Source organism: Homo sapiens, chromosome 12, assembly GCF_000001405.40.
Source record: "Homo sapiens chromosome 12, GRCh38.p14 Primary Assembly".
NCBI lineage: Eukaryota > Metazoa > Chordata > Mammalia > Primates > Hominidae > Homo > Homo sapiens.
The window spans coordinates 89,307,813-89,328,938 of record NC_000012.12 but is presented as its reverse complement, the minus strand read 5'-3'; the positions used below and the strand labels follow the sequence as shown (position 1 = coordinate 89,328,938).

Sequence of the window (21,126 nt, the reverse complement as noted above, 5' to 3'; positions counted from 1 at the left end):
TAAGGAGCATGCTCACTGGTCTCTATGACTATGCCCCAGGGAGTGGGTGTGGGGCATGGAGGGGCAGTAGAAAATGGAGCTGGTCTCTGTCCTCCAGGGGACAAATGCCTTTGTGAGCCTCAGGGAATCTGCTGGCTGCATTCATAGATCAAGACTCAGAACTATCCTAAACTGCCCCTTGCTTTTGGCAACAGTAGGGCTTATGTTTGTTTCCAGAAGTCACGGTAGTGATCACAATGAGGCTGTGTTCGTATGCAATTGGGTTTGACAGAAATTAATTTTTAATAAGAGGCTCTATTCAGTCAAACAATTGCCTTTCGGGGCCCATGTCGGGGTCGGTTGCCCAAGGCTGGGCACTGGCACAGAGTGTGCTTTTGGCTGTGGCCTGAGAGAGAATGAGAGAGAGAGAGAGAGAGAGTGAGAGTGAGTATGGTGGGTGTTGAGGGAGAGGTACTGACTGGTCTTTGTCAGATCTTGATTCAGGACCAGGCATTGGTCTAACCAGAAGCTGGAGGAGGCAGCTGGGTCATTTATTTGATTGCCAAAGAAGAATAATGTGGTGCCTCCAAGAAAACCCCTTCTAATTCCTCGTACTGAGAGCCCTTCCAACCAATTCAAGGTCTGGCAGATGCTCAGGGCATGAGTTTTTTCCCTGTGTTTTTGTTAAGTGTTGCTTACTCTGTGCTGTTATTTAACTCTAACAGTAACCCTGCAAGGCACAATGCTACAGTCCATTTTAAAGACGACGAAAACTACAGCTCAGAGAGGTTAAATAACTCAGATTATACAACTCAGAGGTTAAATAACTCAAATTATTTTGTGTTCTGTTTGTGGAGATGAATCTCCGTCTTCACCATCCCTCTAAGGACCAGTTATTGGAGTACTGGAGGCGTTGTTGAAACTATCAGGTTTGCGCCATCTCTCTCAATGGAATGACATTAAACAACCGTATTTATTTATGCCCATGACTAATATTTCTCCATGCCACTCAGTTAAGCTTTGCATCACTAACCTCTCTTCTTTGTTACTGACACCAATAAGGTGGCATTCACACCAATTTCAGAAGATCTGGGGGGCCTCTGCATTTTCTCTTTTAGAGGCTGCTTCCATTTTACTCAGGAAATGCACACTTTTTGGCGTTTTTTTTTTTTGTTTTTTTTTTCCAGTTCTACTAAAAGGCAGAATCTTGCAGCTCTGCCTTCTCAGTGTGGGTGGCACTGCCATTTCCAGCACTGCAAACTTATCCACCAGCCGCCCCCAAAACCTTTATCAGGAGACATGGTGACTTCTCTCCTAAATTACACAGGTCGGTTTAAAAATAGAGTGCAGGGGTTCCCTTGTCAGGAGAGCTGTCAGGCTGCCCACTTTTGACAGTTTCTTCTACCTCCCTTCTTCGGTACACATCAAAGAATTTTTATTTTTATTTAAAAAATGTTCTGCTTAAGTGATCTGGAGCCCTGAAATTACCAAAAAGGCTCATTTAAAGCATCTTAGGGAACCTTAAAAATGCTTCAGTTTCATGATTTAACATCATGTGCAACTTGATTTTCCACACTTCACCATCTTTGCAGGGGCATCATTAGCATGAAAATGAATTTTAAAAATATATTCTAGTGGAAGTGAACACCCTGACATGAAGAGCTCTGCTCTGTGTCTAGGCTGACAAGTTGGGGGGCACAGAGTAGCTTTGCATAGTGAGTGCAGCAAAAGGAAATGAAAAATTCAATGAATAGAAGACAAAACAAATAAAAACCAAACACATAAAAATACACTCTGGAAATACAAACAAATAATAATAACAATAAATACCCCACCACACACAGAAATGCTGGGAAAAAGAAGGGCCTACCACTTGGATAAATATTCTTTAGTTAAATCTTTTCCAAAATTCTAGGGTTTGTTGAGACATCTTGTCCTTTGTGTGGGGGAATGTCAAAATCTCCATTTTTTTTTCTGTAACCTTTTGCCTCTCCATTCCTCTCCTCTTATCTGCTGTGGCTGTTCCTCCCTTATATGGCTGTCCTCGGAAGTCCAGGAATTTGAATGTTATGTGAAAGGCTAATTCTAATTGGGCTCGGTGACATTCGTGTCAAATGGGAGATGTATGGGGGTCACCCTGCGAAAGATCAACAGGAGCCCGCATCTGCTGTTCTGCATTGCTTCTTTCATTCCATTCTCTGGAAATACTATTCTCGGCTAAATGGCCCAACAGCCCTGTTTTCCCCTCCACCAGGCCTCCCTCTCCCTGCCACACACTGGTTCCTTAATTAGCAGGGCAAATAGGATTCCCTAGCATTTCTTTAACATTTCAGCCTTGCAAAATGTTTATATTTACTATCTCATTTATCACACATAGAAACTTGTGAGATAAGAAGGACAGGTATTATTAAATCATGTTCATTTTATAGCTGAGGAACGTGAGCTTTTAGTAGGTTCTAGTTATCGCTTATGATTGCACAGCTCATTAAAAGCAGGGGCCACTTCCTCCCTCCCAGCCCCAGGATTTTTGGCGCCCAGTTTGGATATATTTCCTTAAACAGAATGCTTCCTGACTTGGGACATCAGGCAACATTTGTGGATCCAAGTTAGAGATTATTTTGTAATAGGAAAGCTCCTCCAGCTTTATGCCTCCATTTTATATAAGCTTTTCTTATCTCAATCTAAATGACTTTAGGAAGTGTATAGCTTCATTCATTCAACAAATATTTACACTGTCCTAGTTTGAGTACATAGCCGTGAATAAAACAGAGAAAGCCCCCACGCTCATGAAGCTTACGTTCCAGTGGAAGTGACCAAGAATAAAGATAGAAACAAATAATACATGATAGGTTTGTTGGTGAAAAGTGCTGAGGCAGAAATAAAGAAAGATGAGTAAAGTATTGCTAGTTTATATAAGGTGATCAAGAAACACCTCTCTGTAACAGTGTCATTTGGTGAGATACCCGAGGAATTGAGGAAGTAGGTGCTCCAGATATTTGTGGGCAAAGCAGTTCTAGAGATGGGCACTGGCATGTGCAAAGGCCCTAAGTTGGGAGAATACTTGTCATGCTAGAAGAAATGCAGTTAAGATAGCCTGGCTGGAGCTGAGGAAGGAGGTGAGAGGAGATCAGAGAGGTGGGCAGGGGAGTGTTGGTGGGATAGAGTCACAGTGAGAATTTTGGTGTTAACTCCGAGTGAGACAGAATACCACTTGAGGGGTTTGAGTATGGGGTGCTGGTATCTGAAAGAGCATTTAGACAAATGCCTGCACCCTGCTGGGTTGTGGCCCAGCTCTGACCCCTTCTATCCCAGCCTCGATCCCACTCAATCTCTTTTCATTGTTCACCAGGAATGGCTACATACCTCGGATGGCCCAGTGCAAAAAGAAAATGTGGGGCCTCTTGTTCAAATTGCTGGAAAAACAGGGTACAGTTGAAGGTCCTAAAATATAAGGCTTTTTCCATCCTTCTGCAGCTGGCTCTCAACTTGTAATGGTGTTTTAAATATGCTATTTGATATAATTCTAAGTAAAGAAGCATTCACATTTAAAATTATTAGCATGAATTTTACCATTCATCTTTATATTGTGCAATGCCAGTTTTAAATGCAACTATAGGAATCTTGTACTTGTATGCGAATCGATTAGATTATACATTCCATGTTTTGTAGTTAATACATGCATATGTAGTTCTTACCAGAGCAGAAGAAATGCTACACAAAATTGATTCAATTGTTTTTATTTCTTGCTATGCAACATTCTACCAACATTACCTTGTGCTTACTGATGAGTAAGGAAGAACTAAAAGGAAAAGGAACTATTGGTTGTTCCATCTTTCCTTTTTTTCTGTATCATCATTTTCAGGATAAGTGGTTGGCTAATAACAGCAAAGTACTAGGAATAACAAAGGATAAGTTTCCTTGGTTGTTTAGGCTTCTCAGGATGCCATTGCTTTCTTCCTACATTAGAAGCAAGTTCTGGTTAGAATGTAGAGTGTAGTCAGCACCCCCACTTACTCAGTCATAGATGTAACATGCTTGCCTTGTATTCACTTTCTGTCTTAATCTCCCAAACTGTAGATCCATTAGAATTCTGGGCTTACGGGGCATTGCAAATGCTCTATGTGAATGGAATGGTAATAAACGATGGACACGCGCAGTGTGGGTCTCTCCTTTGCTCATTTACATGCCACATTACCCCATTGGTTTTTGCTTAAAAAACAAAGGCTCAAAGACAGAATTATTAAGAACTTTAGGACAGTGACATCAGAACAGTAAACTAAGCTCATGGTGCATGAAGCACAGGCTGCACGCCCAGGAAGCTTGCCCTGTTGCTCACCCCGCTCTTTCTAGAACTAGCCTTGCCTTGGGGTAGGAGATAATAAAAGGACGATTGCAAGAGAGAAATAATCCTGGGGCCTGAGGGAAGTCGCTGTGCCTTGGCCTGGTGACAATTCACACTGCCTATATGGAAGGAGGCTCTTAGCAAATGCTGGTTGAGAAGATGGTACTGCTTAGAAAAGAGGAGGGTTATATCAGAAAGCACAGAGAAATATGAGAGAAATAGACAAAGGAGAGACACATATAATGTAATTCTAAGTGAAAGAGAGAAAGCAGATGAGGAGTGGATGAGGGAGAGACAACGGCTGATAATGGTGACACTGGTGGTTTTGGTTGAGTTGATTTTAGTTTTAGGGCTAGTGGCAGGGATAATATCAAAGAAAAGGGAATATTTATAAAATCAGGAAATAACCAGGGCCCAGGAATAAAGATGCGAAGTTAGGTATGAGTAATTATTAATCAAGAAGGGGAACTGGGAGTTAGTCTACTGATGTTATGGGAAATGGGGAGAAGTAATGAGTTTAGGATGGTCATTGTGTGCATGTGGTATCTATCTATCTATCTATCTATCTATCTATCTATCTATCTATCTCACTATCTATCTATCTATCTATGTATCTATGTATCTATCTATCTATCTATCTATCATTATCATCATCTTTTTTTTTATTGCGGGGAAAATGAAAGTAAGCACTCAGGGGCAGGATAAAATGTCAAACAAAAAAAGACAAGCTCTCTGAATTTGGAGAAAATGAGAAACTTGGGCTTTGGTTTCAGACTGTAGAATAATGTCAGGAATGAGACATTAGAAAGAAGTTGGTTGCCTGACATTTGTTAGTGATTTATGGCTAAGGTTGTGGGAGGACAGTTGTCACCTAAAAGTAGTTACAGCACAGAGAACTTCTATGGGCCATCTGTCTGAGTGTGAAGGGATGCAGAGGGATCTCTCAGTCCCCGGGGACTAAGATCTGGGATGATTCTGGGGAAAAGGCTGTGGTCTATTCTGTGTTGCCCTGAGACCAAAGGAAGAGGTGCCCCTGGCCTGGGCCCCATCCTCGAGGAGTCCCGGCCTGACCTTCCTTGGGATGCAAGGGGGAAAGAGCCTGAGAGGTTAAGGGGACAAACCCATCTGAAGGCCAATCCCTCTTTTGAGACCATGTTCCAGATACTGAGGACACTGGAACTCCCAGGCTCGATTCCAGATACCGACTGGGTTCCTTCTCTGAGTTTGTCCCACTTTTGAGCACTTCTAGCCTGTAGGATGGCCAAGGGCTGGCTGAACTACCCCCAGATATGCCCTTGAGGCTGCTTGTGTTGTGGGATGGACCTGGGAGTTATGGAAGTGGGGAAGCAGGGGGCATGGATCAGGGAGTGATCTCCCCATGTCACCATGTTCCAGTGCGAAATTCTGGAGTGTCCAAGGAGGCTGAATTTGAACTTGACCTTTCTTGTTATTAAGAAGATATAGTTATCAGAGCAGGAGAATAAAATATATTTTATTTAGCCATTTGTTCACTTCTTTCTTTAACTTTGAATTATTTATTTATTTGATATGTGAGCATTCATTTGTTCTTCTGCCCTAGCCCTGCCTCTGTATACATTCTTTCCTGGGTCTACTGACTTAGGGTGATGAGCGTTCCCTTTATCCCTTAACCCCTGCATTATTATTGTTGTTTTGTTATTATCTTTAGCAACGTAATGGGGACCCTGAAAGATTGAGAAGCAGAGTTTTTCTGCCTAAATATGCTCTCAGTTACTTCTCAGTTTGTGAATGGATACAGGTGTTTTAAGGTGGAGAATAAAAATATCTTGATGTTTTAGGCATCATTTGCTTCTTTGATACCTTGCACATGAGGGAAAAAGACAGAAAGACCAGAATTACTGGTTAAAGCAAGTTTCCTGTTTCAATCAGATGTCTGGAAGACATTCTTTACTTTGGGAGCTGGGGCTAGGACTTCCTTCACAAATTGGAGAAGAAACCAGTCCATCTATATGTCCTGTTTTTTTTTCCTCCATCTCTTTTAAGCCCAGGTCTTGAAACTTTTTCTTCCTTGGGCTTGAAATTAGGAGTTTTAAAAAAGGGAAATGAAATAGCTTGGGCAGGGAGAACAGTGAATCTAGAATGTTCTGTTGTGTTTAGATGTTTAAGTTTTGCTTTGTTCCCAGAACATTTAAGCAGAGGGGGAATCCAAGCAAATGTGAGGGGAGTAAACTTAGGATCTCTTTGTTGAACATGTGACCTGACTTATGTACTTTATGACAGCACGGATAGGATTAACAGACATGGTTTAGGTTCTTGTCAACAACAAGACACATTTCCCGAGCACTTGCTAATGTGTCAGGCATATGCTGAACATATGTTATACGTTAACTCATAATTCATACATCCTAATACAGTTGTTGTTCTCATTTTACAGATGAGAAAACTGAGACTTTGAGAATTTAAGATACTTGCCCAATATATTACAGCTAGTTAATTCTGAGCTGAATCTGAAAATGATTCTTTTTGATAACAAAGTTCACACTTTTGGCCACAATTCTACACTGACCAGCTTTCCGAGAGTACTTGGTACAAAGTTGGGGCAGCTATTTCATTTAATTTCTAGAAGACCAACATTTAGAAAGGTCACCTAGTCTGACCCTTTCAGTTCATTAGCTGAGAAGTTACAGACCCAGAGGTATCAAAGGACTTGTTTGAGGTCAAGCAGCTAGTTAATAACAAAACTAGAACCCAAGTGTGCTAGAATCTGTATTGGCACTTATACTACTACATTCTGATGAAGAACCAGTTTGGAAATGCAGTTTAAGTAATGGCAAGCAGGGAAAGTGGAAATGTTTTCTTTTAAAATTCAAACTAGGAACAGAGTTGCCAACTTCTCTTGTTTCCCAACATTGTCTTTGCCCTGTAACCTGTCCTATGAATTCTGAGCACTTTTATAAGAACATGAATAGCTTATGGTTTGGCACTATATGTCATATTATATTTGGCACTTAATATGTCATATATGACATATATGGCACTTAATATGTTATATTAAGGATCAAGGTGTGTCTTAATATGTCATATTAAGGATGAAGGCATGACTTAATATGTCATATTAAGGATGAAGGCATGACTTAATATGTCATATTAAGGATGAAGGCGTGTCTTAGTCTGTTTTGTGCTGCTATAACAGAATACCTGATAGTAATTTACAAAGAATGAAAATTCATTGGCTCACAATTCTGGAGGCTGGGAAGTCCAGTATCAGGTGCTGCTGTCTGTCATGGCATAGTTTCTCCTACAAAATTTCTAAGCCAAACATGTGTTTTGTTTTTGTGATTGTTCCATAAAAACTCTCTTCCTTCTCTTCATTGGTGAGTAGGGTGTGGATGGGGGCAAGAGAGGCATGCCCCAGTTTTCAAGTAGAGTTTCTAATTTATACTTGGTTTCCATGTGGGAACCACCCTTTGTTTTCCATCTTGCCTATTGGAAATTGTGGGGAAAGTCACGTGATGTCTCTAATTTAAAATTCATCAGCATTAAAAAAAAGATGAGTTTGAAAAAGGAAACTGAGAAAATTTTGGAACTTTTACCTACCATATGGGTTCAGAAATTGTTTCAGTTAGCTTTGGCAGTAGAAAAAAGGGCCCCAAAAGTTAGTGGCCTACATGGCCATCATTGATTTGCTCACAATTGTGTGAGTCAGCAATCTGTGCTGAGCTCAGCTGGGAATGCTCATCTCAGTTTTTACTGTGGCCACAGCAGTAGCTAAGTAGATGTTTTGCAAAGAAGGCTATGACCATTCCTTCCATCCCTATCCAAATGCCCCTTTGCCATGTGACTTGCCACTTCTCCACCAAACAGAGGAGTTTATTTCTCTACTCCTTGTATATGGATTTGACCATGTGGCTTATTTTTTGCCCCATGAGACATTAGCAACCATGACGCAGAAGATATTTGAGAAGTACTTGCACATTCAGGTTTGCTTCCTTGCTGCTGGGAACCTGGAGACCACCTTTTGAAGCAAACTAAACTGACTTATTAGAGAATAAGAAACCGCCAGGCGCGGTGGCTCACGCCTGTAATCCCAGCACTTTGGGAGGCTGAGGTGGGCAGATCACCTGAGGTCCGGAGTTCGAGACCAGCCTGACCAACATGGAGAAACCCCGTCTCTACTAAAAATACAAAATTAGCCAGGTGTGGTGGTGCATGCCTGTAGTCCCATCTACTCCGGAGCCTGAGGCAGGAGAATGGCTTGAACCTGGGAGGCGGAGGTTGCTGTGAGCGGAGACCATTGCACTCCAGCCTGGGCAACAAGAGTGAAACTCCATCTCGGCAAAAAAAAAAAAAGAGAGAGAATAAGAAACCATGTGGAGAGAGACCAACCATCTCAGCGTTTCTGGCTGAGGTCTTAGGCATGTGACTGAGACCATCTTAGACCTTTGGTTTGTGTCAAGTTGACTCAGACCAGAACTAAGAGAAATAATAAATCATTGGTGCTGTATGCCACTTAATATCTACTTTTTGGCATGTTTGTTTAAAATACCACATTCACTATCCCATTCAAATCTTATATCTATTGCAATTTTTAAGAAGTCTATTTTTGCATGCTTAAAAGAATCTGAATGACTAGCTAGCAATCTAAGGCAGTTTTCATAAATTTTGCTTTATAAAATGGTGATATTGATATTGTTGCCTGACAAAACTCCTGAAACTGTTGTTATAAAGCAAAAGTCCTCATTGGCAAAGAAATTTAAGCAATGAAAGGTAAATCAAAAGGATATGCTGGTACCACAGATTTATAGAACAGCTCTAAGCAAGCTGTTTCACTTCCCTCTCACTGCAGAGGGGATCAAAAGCTAAAAATACTATCAAAAATTCAAATGGCACCTGCGGCACATTCCTAAACGGATGAAGGTCAAATTTGTAAACTAAATTAATGATGTTCATGTTAGAGAAAACTAAGAATAAAGATGCAATCTGCTGAATTTTTTTACATTTTCCTCTTGGGATATAAGTTTTCTTCAAGTGAGACCAGGAAAATTCCTTTATACTCTTTTACTTCCTGGGTTAGTAGGTGGTTTACAATATTAGGTCTAATCATATCAATGTCTTGAGAAAAAAATTCCATTATACTTTCAACAGATGTTGGTGCATAAAAATCCACCAAGAAATATTATCTGCTATTATGCTGTTGACAGTAGATGGAGATCTAATAAGGAAATGCTCATTTTGGCCAGATTTTCTAAGTTTCTCGCTATTGCTCCCACGTCTATTGGGACAGAGCTGTCTCTGGCAGCTGTAGGCTTTCAGAATCAAAGCCAACAGTAAGCAGGGCATGTCTGAGCACATCACACGTGGCTCAGGACTGAGGCAGCTCCTGGGGGATAGGAGGGCCAGGCTTATGGAACAAGGGTCATAAGGATTAGAAGGACTACATAAACGTGCTGGAATTGATGGATCTGAAGCCTCATGGGTCATGAAAAGCTTATGCCATTCAGTTTTGGAGTGATTTGTTTTGCAACAAAAACCAATAGGAATAGAGCAACCTTAGAAGACTATTCAGGACAGAGTACGCCTTAGGGAAATATTACTAATTATGACAGAGAAATTATGAAAACAAAGCTTACCAGATGAGAATAGCATAAAAATTACTATTATTAAAACTAATGATGGTGATAATGATTCTGACAATCTCAGTGTTCTTTATTTTCTATAACAAAGATCTGACATATAACGATCTCATTCAAATACCATCACTTTTTGTTAAAAAACATTTGCCCTACACTTCAATTTGTACTATTAACATCTATTCTCTTCTATCTAGGGATATTTTTGAGAAGGTAGTGTTAATAGAAATATTAAAAAGTATAATATCTCTAGGAATTGGAGACACAGAATTGGCTTTTTACACATAATGTTACACAATTTACTCAGATTGTTTTCCTCTGGACATCTCAATTGTTTGCGGGGGAAGGGAATTTTCATTGTAGGTCAGGACACTTTTATCCTACTACTCTTTGGGCTGGTCTTAGACTTTAGGAATTGAGGGGAAAACTTCCTTCTTATCTTCCTTCTTATTCCTCAAAGCCCATCAAGTTGGAGTTCTTAGCATAGTTGAGGTGCATTATGACATACAGTAATATTTTCCCAAATATGTTCTTTGTAACATTCGTTCTTCAGGATGATCAGTGTGAAAGAGATAAGGAGTCAGATAAGTTTGAGAAATATCATATGTTCAATCCCACTTTTTGTCACAATGCACATTAGTATAGTATAGTGAAGACTTTACAAAATACTGTAGTAAGCAAATGATTGTCTCTTTTTAAAATCTAGTGCTTGTCGATCTTATTTAAATATAGAAATGTCTTCCCCCATAAAATGTTTTAATATCCCACGTATCTGGCATTCACTAGAGAAATATTGAGTTGGTTGGTGCAATTTAATGAGACATTATATATATGTATATGTATGTATATGCGAGACATCTTGGGCAGATACAATGACAAGCTAGATATGATATTGCTCTCAGAAACCTAATCGGTACAATAGGAAATATAAAACTGTTTCATAAAAGTATTATATGAAGTAGAAAGAGATAAAGACTATCAGTAGAATGCTTTCATTGGGAGACTGAGGTGGGCGGATCACGAGGTCAGGAGATCGAGACCACCCTGGCTAACATGGTGAAATCCCGTCTCTACTAAAAATACAAAAAATTAGCCGGGCGTGGTGGTGGGTGCCTGTGGTCCCAGCTACTCAGGAGGCTGAGGCAGGAGAATGGCGTGAACCCGGGAGGCGGAGCTTGCAGTGAGCCGAGATCGCGCCACTGCACTCCAGCCTGGGTGACAGAACGAGACTCTGTCTCAAAAAAAAAAAAAAAAAGGTTTATAGAAAAACCACAGACTTGTTTGAAAAGATGCCAGATTAGTGTAGAGATGACCACTGACATATTTTATAGATAAATATTTGTTGACAAGAATAAAAAAATTCCTTTTCTTTCTCTACCCTTTGCTGATTGTATATTGCTAATTATTAATTATGATTTTTATTAATTACTGTTATCACATATATTACTAATTTAGATTCAACATAAAATACAGTTTTAAAAGTAAAGGAACATTATACATTTTTCCTGTACTATTTATCATTTATTTTGAGTAACTAAAAAGACTGTGTTCTTAATTTAATATAAATTGCCTAGACAAAATTTCATAGCTGTTAATGGACTAAAGTTCACTAACAGTGTGAGTTAAGAAAAAAAAAGAGGTATGGGCTATTGTATTTGGAGAAACCAGATGTGCCGTTACCTAGTGGAGGAAGACAGTTACCAGATCAATGAATGCTCCAGTACATTTTGAGCCTTTTAAAAAGTCTCCTTGACTTTTTCTTTTCATTTTTAATTTTTACATTTCTTTGTTTCCTTAAAAATCTAGCTTAGCCCTGTACCTAGCTTCCCATGAAACAATAGTAGAACCTTTTTAAGGGACCTGTATCAGTCCTGGTCATTCCCTTGAAGCACATTTGGATCCCTCTCTAAATAGCTGCAGGCATTGGTAGTGCTCTTTCTGCTTCCCCACTGGTTGGTTCTGAATACGTAATTACCTTGAGGTCGAAAGGAGAGGATTAACAGACCTTATCCTAATTGCTTGTTTTTGTAGAGTTGTTAAAAAAGATTTGGGCTCCAGAAACAGGGGGTGTAGCCAGACAGAAGGCAGCCTGGAGTTCAAAAGTCTTGTAATCTTTGGCTCCACAGACCTATAAAATTGAGGTGTTGACTGAATGCAAACAGCCTGCAGTCTGAGAGGCCCGGGCCCAAGAAAGGACAAGAGGCCCATCGGTCATTTGAAAAGCCAGGGGTTTCATAATGACTCTGGACTGACCCATTAATGGATGGCCCCATTTGATTTCCCCTTCCCTATGAACACCAGATCTGGAGCTGTCTGCCACACAACAGAGCTTTTCTTAGCTCCTGTGTTCCTAGAATTTAAGAATAAGTGAGGTCTCTTGGAAAGCCCCAGCATGAAAGGAGTAAATTGGAAATATTAAGGGGCAGTGGTGCAGTAATAATACACCCTTGTTTCCTGGTGTCACTCCTTAGGTAATGGTTATAGGCTTGTAATTTGTGAGCAAGAAGATTAAGCTAAATATTAAAACATTATTTCAGGCAAGTAGGAGCAGGGAACTCTTCTGGGAAAGTGCGAATGATCAGTCACCTCCTCACCTCTAAGTATTAAGGGTTATCGGAGGTTATAAGATTTAACAAGTATGGAAAGTTTTGCTGGGTGAGAGGGCGTCTTAAAAATTAAGCTGGAAGCCCTTTGAAGTGTCTTACTTCACAACAAATCATGCTCTGAGAAGGAAAACTTTAGTTTGAAAGCAGAAACCACAGGTTATACCTGATTGATTTGCAGAGTAAAAGATATATTTATTATTCCGTTTAAGAAGATGTAACGTAATATCATGTGAAAACATTAAAGTTGATTATAAAAAGATGTTAGAAGAACAATGGAGACAGACGCTTTTTATTTTTATTTTTTACTACGCAGAAACAGGAAAGGACTAATGACAATGCCACTGTTTTCTTTTCTTTCTGAGATGTATTTTTGTCAGCAAGCTAACTTTCAATTATTTTAGCAGAGACCTATTTTATACAACTTTGAAAAAAACATGAATGGAAATAAATATTCTTAAATGGTTTCAATGAATTGGCTTTTTTTTCCTCTTTCTCTTTGGAAGAAGAATCTTTTAGCTTTAGAAAATCATTGTTTTATAGTATGGTTTTTATATTTTTCTTAAAAATAGGTCCATTCATCTTATTTTATCTTAGTATTTGAACTTTTATAATATGAGGAGAATTCATAAAAATCACACTTACATTGCTGACTCATATTCATTATTATATTTAACTTTCTCCAAAACAAACCAGGGTTTGATATTTGAGAGCATTTTTCTTATTTACTTCTTAAATTCATTTGTGATCTTTTAAAACTAACAAACTAAAATAATTTGAGGTCCACGTTTGTGGAAAGATGTACTTATTATGGGAGCTTTGATTATTCCCACCTCTTTTTCCTCATAAACAAACCCCTCTGAAACCATTATATTTCTAGAAAGTGTTGTCTCTTGGATGATGTGCCTTGCATTGTCAAGCCTCTAACTTTCAACCCCTGGAAAAAAAAAGTTTTGACACCTGTCAAACATCTAGGCTTCAGAAAGTAGTCACTGCCTTCTCTATTTAGAAGGAACTTCTTAATTTAATTCTTAATAGAATAAGTGACTATTCTGCAAATAATTATTTCAGTTCTGCATAGTTCGGACTCATGCCTAGCAGCAGCTCTTTCTCTGACCCCAGTACATTAGCCCTACAGGCAGTCTGAGAGAAACTGGGCAAATCTTGTAGCTTGTGTGGCAGGGTTCAGCATTTAACTCAGCACAATTTAGATGTGCAAAGAAACATAGCTCCTTTATTTTGTCTAGAGCCTGTCTCATCTAGGACCTCCTACCTACTGGTTTGTGGGAAAACTTAATTAAATTGCTAGTATGTTTTAAAATTCGTTCAATCTGACAATTTAAACAATCTCTTTAGGTAATATTTAGTCTCTCATATGAATAAAAATATTCATTCTCAGATAGTTTTCACTGCCTCTTGTCCCTGTCTACAGCATTGAGTCCATGTGAGTGTGGACGTGAGTATTGCTGAAGCTTGGACAGTCCAAACAAAGAGAAGATTTGCGGGTCTTTAGGTATGGTGTCTTCTGGGCCCTAAGGTCATGGCCTTTGGTTTTTTGATCTCTAAGTTATCTCCTGGCTTTCAGAGCTGAGGACTGTAGCATATAAACTTGTGGACTGTTCTTTTGGCTCAGGCAATGCTACTAATGTGGCCCCTAGCTGTTTTGGCATCAACCACAGAGTCTCTGGCAGGTCCTCCATCTGGCCTTGTGTTCCAGGGGTCGTACTCAGCTTCTGTTGTGGAGTCCTTATGCTTTGCTCTGGTGGGCTCCATAGTTAGCCTACTGGATTATACTCATTCTGAACCTAAGCAACAGGGAAATGAGTGTGACTTGGGAACACTGAAGCTCAAGGCTTTTTGCCTAACCACAGGGTACTGCTATGGTTACTTTCGGTGACTGTGCCTCAGATTGGATACTTGGCTAAGCAGCCCCTTTCAAACTTCCAATTTGGGGTAGCTGATCTCATTGGTATCTCACTTTTCTAACATTTTTTTTTCCTAGATGAAGCCAAGATGAAGAAAATTTGGAGGCACAAATTAACTGGTCTCTTTTCCTCTCTTCTCTCTCTTTTTCTTCAATATTATGTCCAGAAAAGGACAGACTTTCTTTCACTTCCTTTATGACACTCTGTTTACCATAGAGATGACCTAGCTGTGATAGGAGGGTAGGCTTCTCTTCCACATCATGGTAGACCTCTATGATCTAAACCTTCCAGACTCAATTTTTTATATGCTGACGGAAAGAATAAAGTGATCTGAATTTTTTTCTCAATGTAATAATATGACTTGCAAGGCTGTTGTCTTGGTGTATTTTATTTTTCATCTCAGAAGCTGATAATTCTTTACTACACCCTGAATTTGCTCTGCAAAAAATACCATGAATAGTATCACTGGTGGTTGTAACATCTCTTTGGAAACGTCAGGGAAGGTTGGGGAGTTGAGCTGAAACATATTGGATCCATTCCTTCTTTCTTTGGGCCCCTTGCTTCAGCAATATTCTTGGTATTTTGCTTAATTAAAATGGAAACTAAATGTAACCTCATTGTGTGTGTGTGTATGTGTGTGTGTGTGCCGTTTTCTCTGCCAAAATACAGTCCACCTGAGATGTTCACCATGCATTTTGCCTCCCACTACATCAATTGGTTTCTATTACCTAATCGTAACACTTAGTCTTACTGAAATTATATATTTTTAATTTGCCTGCCTGTTTATATTATGTCACTCCCACTAAAATATAAATGCAAATAGAGGAAGATTTATAATTTTATTCACCATGGTATTCCAATGCCTAGCAAGGGATATGCTCATACCGGGGACTCACCAAATATCTGTTGAATAAATAAATTTATAAAAAATAAATGGATGAATGAATCCACATCCAGATTCTGCAGTCAACTTGCTTTCTACTCTTCCTTCCAGATTCAAGATCTCTGCAGAATTTGACCTTGCATAGGCTTATCAACAATGGCTGATTGTCAATGATATTACTATAGATGCCTAAGCAACCACATTCATTGAGGTTAACTCTGAGTTATGTCTTTATTTAAAAATTTTTTTGAGCTTGAAAATTGGAGAGCATGTTTTCTGGGGTTGGACAGGTACTATCCTGATTGTGAAGGCAATGCAAGATAAATGTATGCAACATTTAACAAGTGCTACAAACTTTTAATAACACCTTGTTCATATGTTCATAATTTTATTTTGGTGCCTGACCAGCACATTTTTTTTTTTTTTAAGACAGAGTCTTTCTCTGTTGCCCAGGCTGGAGTGCAGTGGCGTGATCTTGGCTCACTGCAACCTCCACCTCCCGGGTTCAAGCGATTCTCCTGTCTCAGCCTCCCAAGTAACTGGGACTACAGGCACGCACCACCACGCCCTGCTAATTTGTGTATTTTTAGCAGAGACATGGTTTCACCATGTTGGCCAGGCTGGTCTCAAACTCCTGACCTCAGGTGATCTGCCCGCCTCGGCCTCCCAAAATGCTGGGATTATAGGAGTGAGCCACTGCGCCTGGCCCTGACCCAGTACTTGACACACGGTGAGCATTATTAGTATTTGCTGAATCTGTTCAGTATGAAAGATAAATCTGGAATTTCCAATTTTGCTTTAAGTCTTTGCATAAATGATCTTGAAGTTACTAAACCCCAGGCAAAAATGATATAGTTCATGGTCTGTTCATTTTGAAAAAACAAACAAGATCTTTTAGCCCTAGTATGCATTATTATTATTATTATTATTTGAGACAGGGTCTTGTTCTTGTCACCCAGGCTGGAGTGCAATGGCATGATCTCAGCTCACTGCAACCTCCACCTCCCAGGTTCAAGTGATTCTCCTGCCTCAGCCTCCTAAGTAGCTGGGATTACAGGCGCACGCCACCACACCCAGCTAATTTTTTGTATATTTAGTAGAGATGGGGTTTCACCATGTTGGCCAGGCTGGTCTCGAACTCCTGACCTCAGGTGATCCACCTGCCTCAGCCTCCCGAAGTGCTGGGATTACAGGTGTGAGCCACTGTGGCAGGCCTAGTCTGCATTATTTTATCTTAATTTAGGTTCTGTTGTTAAACTGGAAAACACCATTGCTGGAGTTGGGGTTTTCAGTCTTCTGGAAATCTCTGCTAATAATTTAATAAATGTAAAACATAAGGTTTCTTGCAACTCACATTTCAGTTTATGATATTAAAACTGTGCCTTGTCCCAACATGCTACAACATGCTAGTTGGTCTTGAAGCGGCAGAAGCAAACTATTCACAAATTAATCAAGAATACCTTGCATTGTGATTGAGAACTTGCACAACCATTGTTGACTGCATGGGATGACAGGTTACTTAGATCTCCTATGCTTGGAGGAGGTGGCCAGAAGAATTGCCCAGAGATCCAGGAATAAGTTTTTACAGGCCTGTGTCTACAATGAACACAGAAGTCCTCTGCTTTCTCGTGATTATGACTGTGAGTTATCTCAGCTGCATGCCCAAACCATTTGGATCGCTGGGAAAAGCATCACCTGTATTTAAGGGCTGGGCTTGGACAACTGAGATCTGGGCAAATCACCATGGCCATGGGACTTTTGGCATATTCAGGCAGTTTTTCAGCTGTTCAGTGAAGTAATTAAACTGAGTTATTCTCACTCGCTGATGATGCCAGTGGTGCAGTTTAGGGAATATTTCAGGCCTATAGATTTAGACATAGAGTTAGGATGTGCTGTTATTGTCTACTGATCTTTTCCTGGCATAAAAGTTACACCAATTTCCATCAACATGGTGTACACTTTATTGATAGTAGGCCACTTAAAGCAAAGTGGGGCTGATAGAGAAAGTGACTTTATTTGATTGAAAAATATGTATGGAGCACCTATTGGGTATTAGTACTGTACTACGTAGGTCCTGAGATGGATGTAAAGGAGCAAAAAATGATTCTTACTTTCAAGAAGCTGACAATTCAGTGTTAAATACATTTATATTTTGACATAAATAGCATATATTTTGATATAAGAAGACAATTTAGTATATTTTTAAGTTCTCATATGGTATAGGGTAGAGAAATTCCTTTCCTTAGACTATAGCATTAAGAAAAAAAACAAAGGGGCTGGGTGTGGTGGCTCATGCCTCTAATCCCAGCACTTTGGGAAGCTGAGGCGGGCGGATCACGAGGTCAGGAGATCGAGACCATCCTGGCTAACATGGTGAAACACCATCTCTACCAAAAGTACAAAAAATTAGCAGGTCGCAGTGGCGGGCACCTGTAGTCCCAGCTACTCGGGAGGCTGAGGCAGGCGAATGGCATGATCCTGGGAGGCGGAGCTTGCAGTGAGCTGAGATAGCGACACTGCAGTGCGGCCTGGGCGAAAGAGAAAGACTCTGTCTCAAAAAAAAAAAAAAAAAAAAAGAAAAAAAGAAAAAAACAAAGGTTGATGGGTTGATGACTTTTTTTTTTTTTTTTCCAGGCTTGATCTTGCTCTGTCAACCAGGCTGGAGTGCAGGGGCATGATCACAGCTCACTGTAGCCTTGACCTCCTGGGCTCCAGCCATCCTCCCGTCTCAGCCTCCTGAGCAGTTGGGACTACAGGCGTTTGCCACCATGCCTGGCTAATTAATTAATTAATTAATTTATTTTTTTTTTTTTTTGGTAGAGACAGGATCCCAATACATTGCACGGCTGGTCTAAAACTCGTGGGCTCAAGTGATCCTTCTTCCCACCTTGGTCTACCCAAGTCTGGGATTATAGGCACGGGCCATGTGCCCAGCTGGTTGATGGTTAAAAAAAAAATCTTTTGGCAAAGATAGCATCTTCTCACATTTCCTTTGCTTAGGTACTAGAACCATGAAAAAATAGCACTGAAAACTTCATAATAGAAATGAATGGGTTTTATTGAAACAAAAAAATTCTAACCAATCAAAACATGAGTTATTGAATTGGAAGTTTATGATGTATTTGCAAACCTTCTTTGACATCTATTGTCCTTGTATCTTCTCCCCCCGATGTTGAAAGTACACAGTAGAAAAAAACCTTTGTGTTGAGACTTGTTTTATCCTTCACATGATTTTCAGAGTTTCTTTTGGTTACCAATTTAATAAGGATGATATTTTTAATTTCAGACTCTTGCTGATTATTTTTGTTTCTCAGGAAAATCTTTTTTTCCACCCTTCTATCCTGCCCACCAGCAGAGAGAATACAGAGCCTTATAAGTCTCTCTTTCCTCCTATGGCGTGCTTTATAATGCCAGTGTTCTTCACTTCAGCTCAGCTTCCAAATTTAATTCATTTGTTAGGCCTATTTTTACCTTGAAACATGAAATCTGAATGTGTTGCTAAACTATCAGAGAAAGTGCTTTTCTTTGTGCCTTCCATCTAAGGCAATGTGTGCTTTCCTAATGGTATTATTTATAGCTGTGGGCTGTGAAAACGGAGCACAGACAAGCTGCCTACATCCCATGTCACACTTTTTTTTTTTTTTTTTGGTTGGAGTAGTTAGTCATTAGTACAGAAGTGTTTGGTCACGAGCAGGAAAGAATGAAAATGTAAAATTCAGTGGGCTTCATTTCCATGGTTGTGGTGTGAAATTTGTGGGGGAGATTCCGGAGTGAGGTATGCCCCAGGTACTCACCTGAAAAAGGGTTCCAGGTACATGGTGTGTCCGCAGCATCCCTGGCCCCATCCTTTCTGTCCTGGAATTCTGTGTTTGTGGATATATTAGTCAGGACAGGCTAGTTTAGTTTATGCTACAGCAACAAGTGGCTCCCAAATCTTAGTGACTTAGAGACTGACAGATCTTCTCCACCACATCCTTTGCCGATTGGCTGTTGCTCTGCTTCCAGTCATCCTGCTGGAGCAGTCTCTCCCTGGAACACTTGGTCACTGTGGCAGAAGGAAAGGAAAAATGGTGAACCACTTCCTGGCTCGAAAAGCTTCTGTGTGGAAGTGACACACATCTCTTCTGTCTACATTTCAGAAGGGATGGGGCCAGGGATGCTGAGGACACACCATGTACCCTTTTTCAGGTGAGTACCTGGGGCATAACTTACTCCGGAGTCTCCCCTGCAGATTTCACACCAGAACCGTGGAAATGAAGCATTTTGAATTTTAATGACCAAACAATTCAGTGCTAATGACTAACTACTCCAACCACAACCAAAAGCATGACATGGGATGTAGACAGCAAACCACTTTTGAATTTGACAGGCAGTGAAATATATTCCTCCCTCAGAGAGAGACCCCTCAGGGAGGGGCACCCAAATATTTGGAGAACAGACTACTAGAGTGGGGATTCATTGACATTCACTTGGTAACAGCGAACACGAAGTAAGACATTTTCAGACAAGGACTGAATCTTGTGACTGAACTTGGGGAAGAATGAATAACTTTTTTAACTTTTTTTTTTCTGGGGGTCGGGAGTAGACATAAATGAGGTAGAGGGTCTCACTGTCTGGAACACTAGGCTTTTGAGGGTCACTTCCTTCCTTCCTTCCTTCCTTTCTTCCTTCTTTCCTTCCTTCCTTCCTTCCTTCCTTCCTTCCTTCCTTCCTTCCTTCCTTCGTTTTCCTCCCTTCCTTCCTTTCTTCTTTTTTTTTTATTTTTCAGACGGAGTCTCACTCTGTTGCCCAGGCTGGAGTGCAGTGGCGCTATCTTGGCCCACTGCAACCTCTGCCTCCTGGGTTCAAGTGAGTCTCCTGCCTCAGCCTCCCGACTAGCTGGGATTATAGGCGCACACCACCACATCTAGCTAATTTTTGTATTTTTAGTAGAGATGGGGTTTCACCATGTTGGCCAGGCTGATCTTGAACCCTTGACCTCAGGTGATCTGCTTGAAGGTCACTTTTTCTAAAGTGTTTGTTTACATCTGAGTTATATGTTGTTTCTGTATCCATTGTGTTTGTTGTTTGATCTACTCAGTTGAAAGATGAACTTTTGGTTGTTCTGAGTTCTTGGTAACTCTCATTTGGCACTTGCTTATGTATCCAGGTGCGTCTCTCGCCGCTCCTGCCTCAGACTCTAGGCTCCAGCTGCAATTCACTATCTGTTATTCTAGACATTTCCTTACAGTGCCTTTTAATTTTGCCTTGTCTGTCCATCTCCTCTTATCCTTTAGGGCTCAAAGTCAACATCACTTTTCCTGGTGTAGGTTAGGTGCCTCTGTGTTCCAGAAGAAAACTGTCCTTTTTGATATTTGTTAAAACATTTATCCCATGGAGGTACTATAATGCGTTGTTTATCCGTCTCTCACTACGTCTAATTTATCATTGCTCTGTGAGGTTCACAACTCCAGCCTCATTTCTCCTCACTCTCCTCCTTTGACCAGAATGCTTTCGCCATACTGGTTCACTTTCTGTTCTACGAGTAAGCCCAGTTTGGTTTCACTTCGGGGCCTTTTCAGTATCCATTCCTGCTACCTGAAATGTTCTTCCCTCTCATCTTCAGAGCACTGGCCCCTTTTTAGTCATTCATGTCTCAGTTTAAATAAAATATCGCTTTCTTAGAAGTACCTTCTCTGACTAATCAATCTAAAGTAGTCACCTGGACTTTGGCTATCATATTACATTATCTTTACATACGTAAGGGGCATGTAAAGATATTCTATCCAGTTCTTTTCTTGTTTAT

General features: G+C 40.2%; 1 pseudogene, besides 1 other annotated feature; it reads right to left on the bottom strand.

Annotated features, from left to right (window-relative positions):
* Positions 3,014–3,517: an enhancer, noted in NCBI's record as "OCT4-NANOG hESC enhancer chr12:89719199-89719702 (GRCh37/hg19 assembly coordinates)". NCBI's record gives its function as "activates a minimal SCP1, AML or CMV promoter by ChIP-STARR-seq in naive H9 embryonic stem cells {active_cell/tissue: H9 hESC(naive)}" and the evidence as "EXISTENCE:reporter gene assay evidence [ECO:0000049][PMID:30033119]".
* Positions 9,333–9,640, bottom strand: MRPS6P4 (mitochondrial ribosomal protein S6 pseudogene 4; annotated as a pseudogene).